The sequence below is a fragment of the Homo sapiens genome, chromosome 10, assembly GCF_000001405.40.
Source record: "Homo sapiens chromosome 10, GRCh38.p14 Primary Assembly".
Taxonomy (NCBI): domain Eukaryota; kingdom Metazoa; phylum Chordata; class Mammalia; order Primates; family Hominidae; genus Homo; species Homo sapiens.
This window is the reverse complement of record NC_000010.11, coordinates 6267826-6283363: the sequence shown is the minus strand read 5'-3', so window position 1 is coordinate 6283363 and position 15538 is coordinate 6267826. Positions and strand designations below refer to the sequence as shown.

Sequence of the window (15538 nt, the reverse complement as noted above, 5' to 3'; positions counted from 1 at the left end):
TACTTCTGCTTTGAGTCATGTTCTACCCACCTGCCCCCATACGCACACCTCCCAAGGCAATAGACACAGAATTGTCCTGATTAAATAGAATAACTTGGCTGGGCGCGGTGGCTCACTCCTGTAATCCCAGCACTTTGGGAGGCCGAGGCGGGTGGATCACCTGATGTCAGGAGTTTGACACCAGCCCAGCCAACATGGTGAAACCCTGTTTCTACCAAAAATACAAAAAAATTAGCTGGGCATGGTGGCAGGCGTCTGTAATCCCAGCTACTCAGGAGGCTGAGGCAGGAGAATCGCTTGAACCTGGGAGGCGGAGGTTGCAGTGAGCCAAGATCGTGCCATTGCACTTCATCCTGGACAAGAAGAACCAAACTCTGTCTCAAATAAATAAATAGAACAACTAGCACAGCAGGAAAATATAGGGTGAGTGAGAAAAATAAATCACTCCATAGAAATTCCAGATTAAACCCCATACCTGGTAGGTCTAAAAACCAAACATTCAGACATACAAAGACAAAGGAACTTTCTATACTCTTATCGCTGAACTGAACACAGCTCCTATGTTTGTTGATGGCAGAATATGGCATAATTTTGCCAAGTCAGGGTAAACTCACTAACCTCTGAATCGTCTTCTCCTCTTTTGAGTAAATTCTTGGTTACTTTAAGGCTCACTTTCCCCCTTATTCGCACCTTCTTGGTGGTGATATGAGTTTCAAGGAGCTTTTATCTTGTCCTCAGAGAAAGAGAGACATTTGGCCTAGAGCGGCCTTAGGTCTATGCTTGTCTTTCCTGAAGGGTAGCCTGGCCCATTGGATGGTAGGGCTAAGCCCCAGCCTCACTACATCTGCTGCTACGGTCACAGCTGCTCCAGAATCCCTTTAAATTTACAGTGGTGCTATCATAATCAGAATAGTAATTTTAAAATTAAGCTGCCATGTTCCCAACAGACACACTGAGTCAGACCATGCAGCGGGAATCTGGAAACATACATTGAGCCGCCCAAGGGTATGTTATGCACAGAGAATCTGAGAACCAGTGGAGAGGCTCTTATGATCCTGTCTCTTGAGAATCTGACCCAAAGAGGAGGAGCCAGGGATCTGAGCCTGAATCCGGTCACCACCAATTCTTTTCCATGCCCTCAACTAGTCCATGCTTTCTCTCTAGCAGGAAAACAGATTTTACACCAGCACACAATCATCTCCATTGTGATCATTTTCATGATAAAATTCAGCCGGGCATGGTGGTGTGTGCCTGTAGCCCCAGCTATACGGGAGGCTGAGGCAGGAGGATCACTTGAGCCCAGGAGTTCGAACCTGTAGTGTGCCGTGAAGGTGCCTGTGAATAGTCGCTGCATTCCAGCCTGAGCAACATAGTGAGACCTCATCTCTTAAAAAAAAAAAAAAAAAATTCATGCTCTGAGTCCTTCAGGATTTATTCTTTGGGCTCAAAAATCTTTCCATTTTAATTTCCTTAGATTTCAAGCTCATGAATTTGTTTTAAAATCTACTTAGAGATTCAATCGATCTTTGCTGCATCTGCCTTCTTACTAAAGTGAAGCCTGCTTCAGCCTTGTGGGTCTAGTTCCCTAGGAGGATCCTGGAGTGCAGTGCCAAGTAATAGAGACAGAGGGAGATTAAGGAAACTTTAGTTAATACCTCAAAGTTTGCCCCAGTATAACTTTTTTTAAAAAAAGCATAGAAAAGAAAGAAAATCCTGATTCAACAGCTTTTCAGTGAGATGAACCCTACTTGGTTTAATTGGAGGGTGGGGGAAAAACAGTGGAATGTATCAGTTAAGAGAAGTGGCACTTTTTAAAACCTCAAAGAGCTGTCTGAGCCTCTATGGAAGATGCTGTTATGGGAGCCCCGATATCTGTTATTCTCTTCTTCTACCAATGCCAAATTTTTAGCTGGGCATGTGGTTGTCCAGAATCAAAACTACACAGTCTGGGCTTCACTTGCAGCTAGATGGAGCCGTTTCTGTATGCCCTAGGATGCAGTCTCCATCTCTGTGTTAGTAAGTAAAGTTAAACTGAGTCAGGCTGGCTGTTGTAACAAAACAATCCCAAACTTTCAGGAACTTTCCCAATTAAATGCTTCTGCCTCACCAATTCACAACTGCAAAAATGTGGAACCAACCAAAGGCCCATCAGTCAATGAGTGGATAAAGAAACTGTGGTGTATATATATATATATATGATGGAATACTAATCAGCCATAAAAAGGAATGAATATATGGCATTCACGGCAACCTGGATGAGACTGGAGAGTATGATTCTAAGTGGAGTAACTCAGGAATGGAAAACCAAACATCGCATGTTCTCACTCATAAGTGGGAGCTAAGCTATGAGGATGCAAAGGCATAAGAATGATACAATGGACTTTGGGGACTCAGGGGGAAAGGGTGGGAAGGGGGTGAGGGATAAAAGACTACAAATTGGGTTCAGTGTATACTGCTCGGGCGATGGGTGCACCAGAATCTCACAAATCATCACTAAAGAACCTGCTTATGTAACCAAACACCATCTGTTCCCCCAAAAAACTACAGAAACATAAAAAATTTAAAACAAAAAAAAAAGCATGTGCCTCACTCTCATAAAGCCCAATTCAGTGTTCCCAATCAGGGAACAGTCCCCCTTGCTTCTAACCAGGGACGCTGACTTCTGCTATCTGTGGCTCTGTCCTCCTAGAGAGCCTCATGCCCCTCTCTATTCAGCAAGCAGATGGAGAAGACAGCAGGGCTCCTGCAGAGAAGGTTTTTCTAGACTGGGCTAAAAGTGACAAATTCCATGGCCAGGATTGATGCTATGCTCACATCTAACACAAAGGCAGTGACAAAAGACATTACACGATCTAAGGGTGTGTCCTGAAGGATGAGGAACACAGGATATTGGTGAGCACTGAGAGCCACTGGCCCGTCCTACTTCCTCCCACCGTCAGGCGAGCCAGGTTCACAAACACTGGCTGATGCCTTCCACAGGCTGGGGCCATGCACATGTTTCTAGGGACATGACATGGCCCATGCCCAATCGTACCATCAAGGCGCTATCCGCCCAAAGGAGGAAGACGGATGGTCTACATATCCAAATAAAATAAGGCGGCAAGTACTACATACAGCTTAATAAAGGACTATGTCACCACAGAGGGAAAAATCCAATTCCTTCTGCCTGGTAGACGTGAGGCAGTTATCCTGGAGGAAGAGACGCCAGCACTGGGTCTTGATTGATGAAGAGAATGTCTCCAGAGAAGGGGTTTTAGGTAGAAGGGGCAGCTGAGCAAAGATGTCACAGCTCAAAGGTAACGAGCCAGGTGTGTCCGCTGTGTGACACGGACAGCGTGGAAAGCCCTGGAACCCTGTCTCCCAAAGCTATCCGGTCCTATCTGCCTATTGATGTCCTGCCCACCTGCAAAGCTCTGAGTCTTCCAAGAGGCCTTCCTTCACAGCCTTTCCTACACACACAGCATGCAGCCAGGGTCAGGCCAATGTCTAATTAATCCCCAGAACCCAGCAGAGAGTAGCCCAGCACCTTCCGCATAGGAGTGCCTTGAGAAGTCAAGATCAATGACTCCAGCCTCATTTATGTAATGGTAAATAGCACTGGTCTTTGTCAAATGGCTGGAAATTTTGTTCACCTCCTGGTGTCCCCGGAGCTAGTTAATGGTTAGTTTCTGATTGCCGCCTCATGCTGTCTGGCGGGAGGTTCTGAGTGACTCAGGGCTCTGCTGACATTCCAGGAGGTCACCGGAGAGACGGAGAGACATTCCCCCAAACGTGACCCCAGGCACACAGACAGCAAACACAGCAGGAAGCAGGAAAAGAGCCTTTCTCTCTTCTAAGTGCTCATACATCAACCAAAGAACCAAGATCCTTGTTGTTCCTCCAGATGAATTTATAATATGATGAACAGGAAAAATAAAATCTGCTCAGCCCATTTTTATAAGAGCAGATGCCCTTTCCCAAGGTTGATAGAAACCCGATTGGCGGCACAGAAAAGAACATTTCAGTCCTTCCAAATTTCTAAAAATATGCATACGATGTTAGATAGTTGACCACTAATGTTCCTAAGATAATAACACTAAGAAAGACTTGTTATTTAAAAAAGAAGTCAGTTGAGACATTTTAAAAATTCACATTTACATGACTTAAAAATTTAACCATGCATGAATATAGACTATATAAATGATATGTCCTCATTGGAGGGATAAAAGCATTCAGAATAAAAGCCATAATAAGTTAGTAGCTATTGCATTATTATGATCTTATGCACATCAATGATCTATTCATAGTAATCATCACAACTGAAGGTTAGTGAGCAATTGCTGTGTGGCAGACACCACACTCAGGGCTTCATGCATTTCCTCAGTGAATTCTCGCCGCAGCCCTATAACAGCAGTCCTGTTCCTATCTCGTTTTACAGATAAGGAGCAGAGGCCTCTGCATGGGACCTCTCAGGGAGAAAGTAACAAAGTCAGGCCTAGCATTCGAGTCTGTCTAAGTCTAAAACCTATGATTTTACCACCCACCACACTGTCTCCTTAAATGGCTCCTATGTGTCTATTCATTCCTTAAACGAGCATTTATTGAGCATCTGCATGCAAGCACTAGGCTAAGTCCTAGAGGATAGAAATGTGTACAAAAGTCTGCCCTCCGCAAACCTCTGCTCTAGAAGTTAGTATCCACTTTAGCTTTAAAATGGCTATGCAGATGGCTATTTTATTCCAAATAACCTCAAACTGGAAACAACCCAAATGGTCTTCAGGGGATAACTGGTTAAAAATCAACAGTGGCTGGCCAGGCACGGTGGCTCACGCCTGTAATCTCAGTACTTTGGGAGGCCGAGGTGGGCAGATCATGAGGTCAGGAGTTCAAGACCAGCCTGAACAACATGGTGAAACCCCGTCTCTACTAAAAATTACAAAAATTAGCTGGCTGTGGTGGTGCGTGCCTGTAATCCCAGCTACTCGGGAGGCTGCAGCAGGAGAATTGTTTGAACCAGGGAGTTGGAGGTTGCAGTGACCCAAGATCGTGCCACTGCACTCCAGCCTGGCAGCAAGACTCCCTCTTAAAAACAACAACAACAACAAAAAAAAATCAACAATGGCTGACCCAAACCACAGAATACCACTCACTAATAAAAAAGAACAAACTAGCCGGGCACTGCGGCTCACGCCTGTAATCCCAGCACTTTGGGAGGCCGAGGCAGGCGGATCACAAGGTCAAGAGATCGAGACCATCCTGGCAAACATGGCGAAACCCCGTCTCTACTAAAAATACAAAAATTAGGTGGGTGTGGTGGTACATGCCTGTAGTCCCAGCTACTCAGGAGGCTGAGGCAGGAGAATGGTGTGAACTCAGGAGGCAGAGGTCACAGTGAGCCAGAGATGGTGCCACTGCACTCCAGCTTGATGACAGAGCAAGACTCCATGTCAAAAAAAAAAAAAACTATTAATACAGAAATGACTTGGATGGATCTCAAAGGAATCCTTCTGAATGAAGAAGTCCACTAGCAGGTTACATGCTGTATTAGTCCATTCTCACACTGCTATAAAGAAATACCTGAGACTGGGTAATTTATGAAGAAAAGAGGTTTCATTGGCTCATAGTTCCTTAGGCTGTACAGAAAGCGTGGTGCTGGCATCTGCTCAGCTTCTAGGGAGGCCTCAGGAAACTTACAATCATGGCAGAAGGCAAAGGGGAAGCAGGCACATCTTACATGGCCAGAGCAGGAGGGAGGTGCGGGGGCAGGGATATGCCACACACTTTTAAACAGACAGATCTTGCAAGAACTCTGTTGTGAGCACAGCACAAGGGAAATGATGTAAACCATTAGAAACCACCCCCACGGCCGGGTGTGGTGGCTCACACCTGTAATCCCAGCACTTCGGGAGGCCAAGGCAGGTGGATCACTTGAGGACAGGAGTTCAAGACCAGCCTGGCCAACATGGTGAAACCCTGTCTCTACTAAAAATACAAAAATTAGCTGGGCGTGTTGGTGTGCACCTGTAATCCCAGCTACTCAGGAGAATCGCTGGAACCCAGGAGGCGGAGGTTGCAGTGAGTCCAGATCGCGCCACTGCACTCCAGCCTGGGTGAAAGAGCGATACTCTGTCTCAAAAAAAAAGAAAAGAAAAGAAAAAGAAAAAAGAAAGAAAGAAAGAAAAAGAAACCATCCCCATGATCCAATCACCTTCTACCAGGCCCCACCTGCAGCACTGGGGATTACATTTCAACATGAGATCTGGGCGGGGACACAGATCCAAACTGTATCACATACAATATGATTCCATTTATGCAACATTCTGAAATGACAAAATTACAGCAATGGGGAACAGGTTAGTGGTTGCCAGCAGGTGGGGAGGAGAAAGGAGGGAAGGTGACTTGAGGCTCTAGAGGGGTAGCATGAGGGAGCCTCCTGGTGATGGAGCAAAATCAAGATATATCTTGATTTGGGTGATGGTTATAAGAATCCACACATGTGATAAACCTGCCTACAACTACACACACACACACACACACACACACACAAATACATATAAAATGGGAAATCTAGGTAGGTTCTGTGACCCAATCTCAATATCATGGTTGTGATATTGTACTGTAGCTATGTAAGATGTCACATTGGGAGAAACTGAGGGAAGGGGACAAGGACCTTCCTGCACACTTTTTGTTTGCATCATCCTTGAATCTATAATTATGTCAATTTTTTTTTAATTGAATTACTCCTCAAGTTTTTTCCTTTATTGGAGGCTATTTAACCCCACTTGCAGCTGCAACATCTCAGCTGTTGCCCAGAGAAAGCGAAGTTCATTGGTACTTGGCCGACCCCAAATTGGAGTTATTGTAGCTAGTAGTTAGATAAGGCCAGCAATTAATCTGTAACTATCCTGTCTGCAGCTAAATGATAGTCTCCCATACAGAGATTTCTCTTTTTGGCATTTTTTGGTTTGTTTCTTGGGATTTTTTTTTTTTCTGAAGCATGGCCCTTTTATGAAATAGATCCATAAACACATTTTCCACTTTCATACATTTGCTAAGTTATGATCTAAAATATTTTTATGACACATACATATAAATAAACAACAACCCCTCCCATTCTAGGCCATGTTTCTGTTTGAAGAATTATCCCATTTGTTATCCTATTTCTATAGCATGCCACCCATGAACCTGATTCAAAGGCCAAAATCCCACAAAATAAAGATAGCATTTGGCTGATAATCCACTCCAAGCAAACAAAGCCTTCTCTTGGGTCAGTAGAAGTTTTGGTTCTGTTTTTACCAAAAATCCTCTCATTCCCTAAAGACAGACTCTGTCTTTACGCAGTCTATTTGTCAAATACAAGGTGCCATGAATTGGGAGACATCTTGATTTCAAGCATGAAATAGCAAGCATATTTCGAGGAATGAGATACTCCAGCATGAAGAAAGCCTGTCTCCGAATGGGTGGGCTGCAGAGGGAGCACCACCCTCCACATGGAGAAAGCATAACCCCTGCGTGTATTTGAAGAGCCATATACCCCTTAAGCCATTAAAAAAAAAATGTTTCATTCTTGATGATGTAATCCTCTCTATGAAAAATACAAAAATTAGCCGGGCGTGGTGGCCCATGCCTGTAATCCCAGCTACTCAGGAGGCTGAGGCAGGAGAATCCCGGGAAGCGGAGGTTGCAGTGAGCCAAGATCGCACCACTACACTCCAGCCTGGGTGACAGAACGTGACTCCATCTCAAAAAAAGAAAAAAACCCACAAGATCCAAACCAAGGTTTCCCTTTTGCACAATAAGAACGCGTGTGGGGAACAATTGTGTGGTTCTTTGCACTGCCCAGATGAGCTCATGAGAAAATTCCCAGCAAGAGCAGCGCCTGGGTGATGGCGGTGAGTCACCGGCAGAGGCCTGACTCCATCACAAGGCTGGGGACAGCGTTCCCGGCATGCAGTGTCAGCTACTTCCTGGCATGGAGTGTCAGCTACTTCCTGTCTGAGTCAGGCGCAGGCCCCGAGGGTGGCTCCGCTGAGGGAACTGGCACCTTCTCCACACACCTCCTTCGCCGAGTCACAGACAAGCTATGCAGAGAAATCTACCGGAGCCACGGCAAGGCTCTGGAAGAGGACAGAGAAGGGAGCAGCTTCCAGAGGCCACATCGGTTTGTCGCCATGACAACAGAGGGGCGGGGCCGTGACCACCTGCCCCTGGCACAAGGCCCCCAAGTGCCGAAGGGTCACTGAGTCTTAAGCAAAGAGCAAGAGGCATCAGCCTCATGGGACAATCCACCCAGAGTCGCCTAACCACAGACCCCAAAAGTCCCCTAGTGGACACCACCCAGTCCAGGAACAGATCAAATTCAAGAATATGTAAACTTGGGTGGGAAAAAAAATCTTTTCCTCCACTAGCCAGGAACTAATATTTAGCATTTTCATTATGAAGATAGGCAGCATACCACATGAGCAGCCTCTGTGTCGGTCACCAGTAAAAATCATAATATGTTCATGGCACATGATGGTTATTGCAGTTTTGTTTTTTGTTTTTTTTTTGAGACAGAGTCTGGCTCTGTCACCCAACCTGGAGTGCAGTGGTACCATCACAGCTCACTGCAACCTCGACCACCCGGGCTCGAGGGATCCTCCCACCTCAGCCTCCAAGTTGCTCGGACTATAGGCGTGTGCCACCACACCCAGCTAATTCTTTTTAGATGGGGTCTCACTATGTTGCCCTGGCTAGTCTCAAACTTCCGGGCTTAAGCAATTCTCCTACATCAGCCTCCCAAAGTGCTGGGGTTACAGGCATGAGCCACCACACCCAGCCTGTTGCAGATGTCTTGAAAGAGTATTTACCCTTCATCTCTACTGTGAAATTACGGTTGTTTTCAGACTTGCCACTATTGAATGCATTATTAAAGTGGTACATATATTTCTACATCGTAAATGTTTATATTTGGCATTTTGATATCAGTATTTCAAGAGTTCTCTCCTTCGTAATCCAAAGTGTGTTATTTTTTAAATGTAAACATTATTCTAAGAAGGGGCTCAGGATCAACCCTGGAGGACCAGAGGGGCTACAGCACACACAAAAAAGCTTCAGTACACTGTATTAGTGTGCTGAGGATGTCGCAACAAAGTACTTCAGATGGAGGGACTTACACAACAGTTTTTTAATTTTTTTTTTTTTTAGAGATAGGATCTCGCTCTGTCACCTAGGCTGGAGTACAGTGCTGCAATCATAGCCCACTGCAGCCTTGACCTCCTGGGCTCAAGCGGTCTTCCCCTTCAGCCTTCCAACTAACTGGGACCACAGGTAAGTGCCACCAGGCTCAGCTATTTTATTTTTTGTAGAGACAGGTCTCCCCATGCTGCCCAGGCTGGTCTCAGTCTCCTGGGCTCAAGTGATCCTCCTGCCTCAGCTTCCCAAAGTGCTGAGATTATGGGAATGAGCTGTCGCACCGGCCCACAACAAAAATTTATTTTCTCCTGATTCTGGAAGGTGGGAGTCCAAGATCAAGGTGTCGGCAGGACTGGGTCCTTTGAGGCTGCGGGAAGGAGCTATCCAGGTGTCTGTCCTTGACCTGTAGTCAGCTGTCTTCACTCCCTCTTCTCATCACCTTCTCTCTGCATGTGCCTGTCTCCAAATTTCCCTTTTTTATAAGGACATCAGCCATACTGGATTAAGGCCCATCCTAATGACCTCATTTTAACTTGATGGCCTCTGGAAAGACTTTTCTCCAAATAAGGTCACACCCTGAGGTGCTGGCGAGTAGGACTCCAACGTGCTGTTTTTGGCAGGGATGCAATTCAGTCCTTAACATACTCCAGTCCAATCTCCATGCTTTCCTTAGAGAACCCTCAAGCCCAGAGTGACTGACAGAACTGTCAACAGAACACAGGTTTCCCGACAGCCCCCTCAAGGTTTGAAGGGCTTTATACACTGTAAAGGGCCGTGCGATTGTAGGTTGCATGGCGGCGGGGATCCCTTAAAGAGCAGGCGTTCTCGGGAAGGCAACGCTTTTCACCCACGGGTGGCAAGCTCCTCGGGCCCCAGAAGAGGAACGGGGAAAACTCCAGGCCTCATTTTTGTTTGTTTTACTTTTGGTGGGCAGCTGCTTCTAGTCACATCTCTAATTTCACGGCCATCATGAGAATATGGATCACATCTGTGAGGTGGGCCCAGCAAACCCCGTCTCTACTGAAAATACAAAAAAATTAGCCGCACGTGGTGGCAGACACCTGTAATCCCAGCTACTTGGGAGGCTGAGACAGGAGAATTGCTTGAACCCGGGAGGCAGAGGTTGTCGTGAGCTGAAATCATGCCACTGCACTCCAGCCTGGGCAACAGAGTGAGGCTCCACTTCAAAAAAAAAAAAAAAAAAAAAAGCCTGCAATCTCAGCCCCACTCACTGCACAGGAGACATGTGAACACTTTAGGAGAATGGGAAGTATTTTCTTTTCCTTTATTTTCCTCTGAGACTTTCTCTATAAATCAAGCCCTCAGGCCTATTGTCCAAATCTGAAATAAAGCCTGCCTCCTCCATCTGACCCTGTTCTCAAGAGACCTGAAATGAAATCTTCCCACATAGCCCTTGGCATGCACAGATCCAGGATATGGAACAGGGCTGACGGAAACTCATGAAAGCACAGCGCGGCTGGGGCCCAGGTCGACCTATTTCTTTTTTCTTTTTTTTGAGACAGAGTCTCCCTCTGTCACCCAGGCTGGAGTTCAATGGCACGATCTGGGCTCACTGGAACCTCTGCCTCCCGGGTTCAAACAATTCTCCTGCCTCAGCCTCCCAAGTAGCTGGGATTACAGGCACCCACCACCATGCCCAGCTAAAATTTTTGTATTTTTAGTAGAGACGGGGTTCACCATGTTGGCCAGGCTGGTCTCAAACTCCTGACCTCAGGTGATCCGCCCGCCTCGGCCTCCCAAAGTGCTAGGATTACAGGCATGAGCCACCGTGCCCAGCCAGACTGACGTATTTCAACACGTTGGCCAGAATGCATAAATCCAAGGCATCATTCAGGGTTTAGTTAAGAAACCCCGATGTCCTAATAGGGCAATTGGAACGATCACCTTCACTAGACAGCCTGGAGTCAAGGGAGGGACACAGGAGACCATTACCTGCAAGTCCTAAGGGACAGAAGGGACATTTATCATCTCCCAGCACTGCCTTCATCAGCCATTCACCAAACTAGACAGTTACAGCCCCTGTCTGTGAACTCGGGGTGCTTTGCACTTGTTCATAACATACAACATACATGCACAATGGCAAGTAAGCACGTATGTAATGCTTCACATCTGCCCTCCCTGCTGGATGGCAGCCACCATCGGGGCAGGGGCAACTGTCTATCCCACCCTCTGGTCTATCCTCAGTGCTAAGCACAGATTCCCACACATGGTAGAGATTGGTAAATATTCCCTAAGTAAATAGGTACCTGCCTCTCCCACTTCCACACCCACCCTCTGATAGCCTATTGCCCTTTTGCAATACTTCTTCCCATTCAAGGTTGAACTAGGATTCATTTCAATTTAGCTTTAAAAATATAAATACATGCCCACAGTGTGGGGGAGAAAGCACACACAGATACCCATAGGCTCCACCCTCCACCCACGGGAGAAGGCGCTGTGGCTATTTGGGGTCACAGTATCCTGTTACCTTTATTGAACATTCACTTTTTATCAAAGGTCTGAGGTACACTGTCTCATTTATTCTACACAACCTTAGTTAGAGACTCATAGGCTTGGGGCTTGAACATCTTGTCCAAGATCACACACCTAGAGAGTACTGAACCAGGACTGGAGCTAAAAGAGGTCTGATTCAAACACTGGGCTTCATCAGCTCCCTGTGCTACCTGCCCGGAAGTGGCTTCATTACTCTCAAAGAATTCGGCTTCCCAGCCCTTCCGCAAGCACTGCTACCAGGCTCTTCATCCTGCCATTCAATAGACACATCTGAAGTTTGACTTCCCGCCTCTTGGCTCCCACACCCCCAGGAGGCAGCTGTCAGAGTCCTTCAGTGGCTAAAGGAACGTAGCCTGGGCCTCCCAGGCATCACACACGCACCAGGAAATCATAAATTGAAAGGTAACGCTCTTCGGTTCTCGTCCTTACCTTAGCAGAGGTGTTGGAACAAGGCTGACATTTACAATGCACAGGAGCTTGGCTACTTCAGCAATTGCATGGCCACTGGTGTTCTGGAAGAATCCATTTAAATGCTAGACACATTTTCTCTTGGCACTTGAAACTAGGTTCCAGACGGGGGAAGTGGTTGAATACTAATTACTTGTAGCAAGGCCATTGGAAGAGCATCTTTCACTTTCTTTCCCAATTTCAATAATCTGTTCCTGAATGCTTCTTATCCAAACCCACGTTTCAGAAAACAAGTTTAAGAACTGGGAAAATCTACAGTTAGGATGAAATGAATAAAAATGTCTTTCCTTCATTTATTTGGCAAATATTTAGTGGGTGCTTACTATCCCAGGCAGGGGGCTAGATCTTGGGAAGAGAGTGCTGAGTCAAAACTGGCCCAGTTCCTACTCTCAAGGTGCTTAAGTCTAGTGAGAGAACGGGCATGAAGCAAATAATGACACCAATAAAGGTGAAACTGCAACTCTGGGTGTCCTACAAAGGAGGCATGTGGTCCGATGAGCGCATGTCATAGGGCCTAATCTAGCCCGGAGGGTGGGAAGACTCCTTGATGCCATGACACCATCTGATGCATTAGAAACCACCTGGTAAAGAGGGAACCGGACCCTTACTATCCAGAGGAAACAGCAAGCACAAAGGTGTTACATGGGAGGGAGTGTGCAAAAACAAGAGTTCAAGAAAGCCTCTGTGGCCGAGGAGTGTAGGCTGAGCTGAGGCTAGAGAGACAGGCAAGAACCAGATGCCCCAGGACACGGTGAGCTGTGGTTAGGACGTGTGTCATTAAACGCAAGAGCAACAGGAAACCATTGAAGGGCTTTTAAACCTTGCATGACACAATCAGTTACCTCAAAAATATTCCTCTAGTTTCTTGGTAGAAGAATGAGTAATATTAGGTAACTTATACTTCTCATATGAAATGGGAAAAAGAAGGCATCATTATCTCCGTGAGAGATTTGTGGAGAGGGAAAGCAACTGGTTCCGGGTCGTAGCTCACCAGAAAGTAGAGCACAGAATTCTTGTCCCATGTTCCTGAGTCTTAAACACCCATATTCTTTTGTTGTTGTCGTTGTTGTTGTTTTGTTTTGTTTGTTTGTTTTTGAGACGGAGTTTTTGCTCTTGTTGCCCAGGCTGGAGTACAATGGCGCGATCTCGGCTCACTGCAACCTCCGCCTCCCGGGTTCAAGCAATTCTCCTGCCTCAGCCTCCCAAGTGGCTGGGACTACACGTGCACACCACCACACCCAGCTAATTTTTGTATTTTTAGTAGAGAGGGGGGTCTCACCATGTTGGCCAGGCTGGTCTCAAACTCCTGATCTCAGGTGAGCCACCTGCCTCAGCCTCCCAAAGTGCTGCGATTACAAGCGTGAGCCACCACACCTGGCACCATTTTCAAAATAAATAGATAAAACTGTGTCAGATAGAGTCACATCATATGGCCCTCTTCATTTATGCATTCTGACATGCTGACTTCTGAAGTTGTCCAGGTACAAAATAACTCAGTCAGTGACCAGAAATATGAGCCATTTAATGTCTACCCCTGGGAAGAGTTAAGTCTTACTGCCTCCTCTCTCCACACACTAAACCAATTTCTCTTCCCATTTCTCCACCCTAAGTCACTTCCACTTTCCTAACTGCAACGTCTTACCTATGGCAAAGCCTATATTCACTGCATTTTCCCCATGGCCTCATCACACAGATAACAGACCCCGGAATCTGGAAAAGGGAAAAAAATATATGTATGTGTTGCTCCTTAAGACAAGACCAAATCATCCTATCCAGGTGCAGTGGTGCATACCTGTAGTCCCAGCTGCTCAGGAAGCTGAGACAAGAGGATTTATTGGGCCCAGGAGTTCAAGACCAGCCTGGGCAACCATCTCTGAAAATAAATAAGTACATAAATCATCCTAGATCACTGAGTCTATAATTCAGTCTTAAATTTGTTTAGGAAAAGTTATTTATGTTCTTGGTATCTCAGTATCTTTATCTAACAGCTGAAAAAAAAAAAACGTAAAAATAATCTGCTTGGGCATATAGGGAAGTAAAAATATACTGAAGAATCGCCATTCAGGGAAGATGAAGACCCAGGGAGGGGAGCCCATGTTGACAACTACTGTTTTAAAAAGCAATTGTCATTTCTACATACTAGCAGTAAATAATTAAAAAATGAATTTTTAAAAATCTTTAACTTTTTTTTTTTTTTTTTTTTTTGAGACAGGATCTCACTCTTGTCTCCCAGGCTGGAGTGCAGTGGTACGATCTCAGCTTACTGCAGCCTCAACTTCCTGGGCTCAGGTGATCCTCCCACCTCAGCCTCCCAAATAGCTGGGACTACAGTCATGCACCACCATGCCCAGCTAGTTTTTTGTATTTTTAGTAAAAACAGGGTTTTGCCAAGTTGCCTAGGCTGGTCTCGAACTCCTGGGCTCAAGCAATTGGCCTGTCTCAGCCTCTCAAAGTGCTGGGATTATAGGCATGAGCCACATCACCCAGCCTCTTTAACCTCTTTATGTTTGAAATTTGTGAATGTATGATCCAGTACAAAAAAAAAAGTTAACTAGTCTTTTTTATTAAATATATTTATATAATTTCTATTTATTTATTTATTTGGAGACGGAGTATCATTCTGTCACCCAGGCTGGAGTGCAGTGGCACAATCTTGGCTCACTGCAACCTCCACCTCCTGCGTTCGAGTGATTCTCCTGCCTCAGCCTCCTGAGTAGCTGGGATTACAGGTGCACGCAAACATCCCTGGCTAATTTTTGTATTTTTAGTAGAGATGGGGTTTCTCCATGTTGGCCAAGCTGGTCTCAAACTCCTGACCTCAAGTGCTGGGATTACAGGCATGAGCCACCGTGCCTAGCCTTATATAATTTTTATAATAGTATAGAAAAGCACCCCCAAAAAGGTTCCTAGCATGAGGCATAATAGCAGCCACTTGAATTAAAAACCCTCTACGCAATCTCCAAAAAGAAGTTTATCAAGAAGTACAAATAAGACACACATGCTTTCAGCATTACTGGGATACAGAGTAACTTCAAATGATGCCAAGAATTCCACACCTAATCTCAACATAACCACCTTAGGGGCTCTGCCTGTGGCTTCCAGACCATGGAAGTGGCGTGGGGGAGGGGAGACAGGAAAATCCTTGAAAAGCAGCGGACATGAGAACTGCTCCGTCGCACAGGGCCCCATGCTCAGGACACTACACATGGTTTAACACTGTCATTGCCAGCTTGAAATTCTTAGTAATTTGATTTTTTTTTTTTTTTTTTTTTTTGAGATAGGGTCTCGCTCTGTCACCCAGGCTGGAGTGCAGTGGCACCATCTCGGCTCACTGCAACCTCTGCCTCCCGGGTTCAAGCGATTCTCCTGCTTCAGCCTCCCGAGTAGCTGGGACTACAGGCGC

At 45.9% G+C, this 15538-nt stretch overlaps 1 protein-coding gene across 1 annotated transcript in view, besides 7 other annotated features; it reads right to left on the bottom strand.

The window, feature by feature from the left end:
* PFKFB3 (6-phosphofructo-2-kinase/fructose-2,6-biphosphatase 3) overlaps window positions 1-15538 on the bottom strand; it is a 181717-nt gene that overhangs the window by 43274 nt on the left and 122905 nt on the right. The window lies entirely within an intron of this gene.
* Window positions 3291-4045: an enhancer, noted in NCBI's record as "NANOG-H3K27ac-H3K4me1 hESC enhancer chr10:6321282-6322036 (GRCh37/hg19 assembly coordinates)". NCBI's record gives its function as "activates a minimal SCP1, AML or CMV promoter by ChIP-STARR-seq in naive H9 embryonic stem cells {active_cell/tissue: H9 hESC(naive)}" and the evidence as "EXISTENCE:reporter gene assay evidence [ECO:0000049][PMID:30033119]".
* Window positions 3564-3858: an enhancer, noted in NCBI's record as "tiled region #6271; HepG2 Activating DNase unmatched - State 5:Enh". NCBI's record gives its function as "activates a minimal TATA promoter and a strong SV40 promoter by Sharpr-MPRA in HepG2 cells {active_cell/tissue: HepG2}" and the evidence as "EXISTENCE:reporter gene assay evidence [ECO:0000049][PMID:27701403]".
* Window positions 7670-8109: an enhancer, noted in NCBI's record as "active region_2966". NCBI's record gives its function as "activates an Ori minimal core promoter by ATAC-STARR-seq in GM12878 lymphoblastoid cells {active_cell/tissue: GM12878}" and the evidence as "EXISTENCE:reporter gene assay evidence [ECO:0000049][PMID:35858748]".
* Window positions 8260-8369: an enhancer, noted in NCBI's record as "active region_2965". NCBI's record gives its function as "activates an Ori minimal core promoter by ATAC-STARR-seq in GM12878 lymphoblastoid cells {active_cell/tissue: GM12878}" and the evidence as "EXISTENCE:reporter gene assay evidence [ECO:0000049][PMID:35858748]".
* Window positions 11192-11392: a silencer, noted in NCBI's record as "peak863 fragment used in MPRA reporter construct". NCBI's record gives its function as "represses an SCP1 promoter by STARR-seq MPRAs in K562 erythroleukemia cells {active_cell/tissue: K562}" and the evidence as "EXISTENCE:reporter gene assay evidence [ECO:0000049][PMID:32103011]".
* Window positions 12653-12702: an enhancer, noted in NCBI's record as "active region_2964". NCBI's record gives its function as "activates an Ori minimal core promoter by ATAC-STARR-seq in GM12878 lymphoblastoid cells {active_cell/tissue: GM12878}" and the evidence as "EXISTENCE:reporter gene assay evidence [ECO:0000049][PMID:35858748]".
* Window positions 12832-13032: a silencer, noted in NCBI's record as "peak862 fragment used in MPRA reporter construct". NCBI's record gives its function as "represses an SCP1 promoter by STARR-seq MPRAs in K562 erythroleukemia cells {active_cell/tissue: K562}" and the evidence as "EXISTENCE:reporter gene assay evidence [ECO:0000049][PMID:32103011]".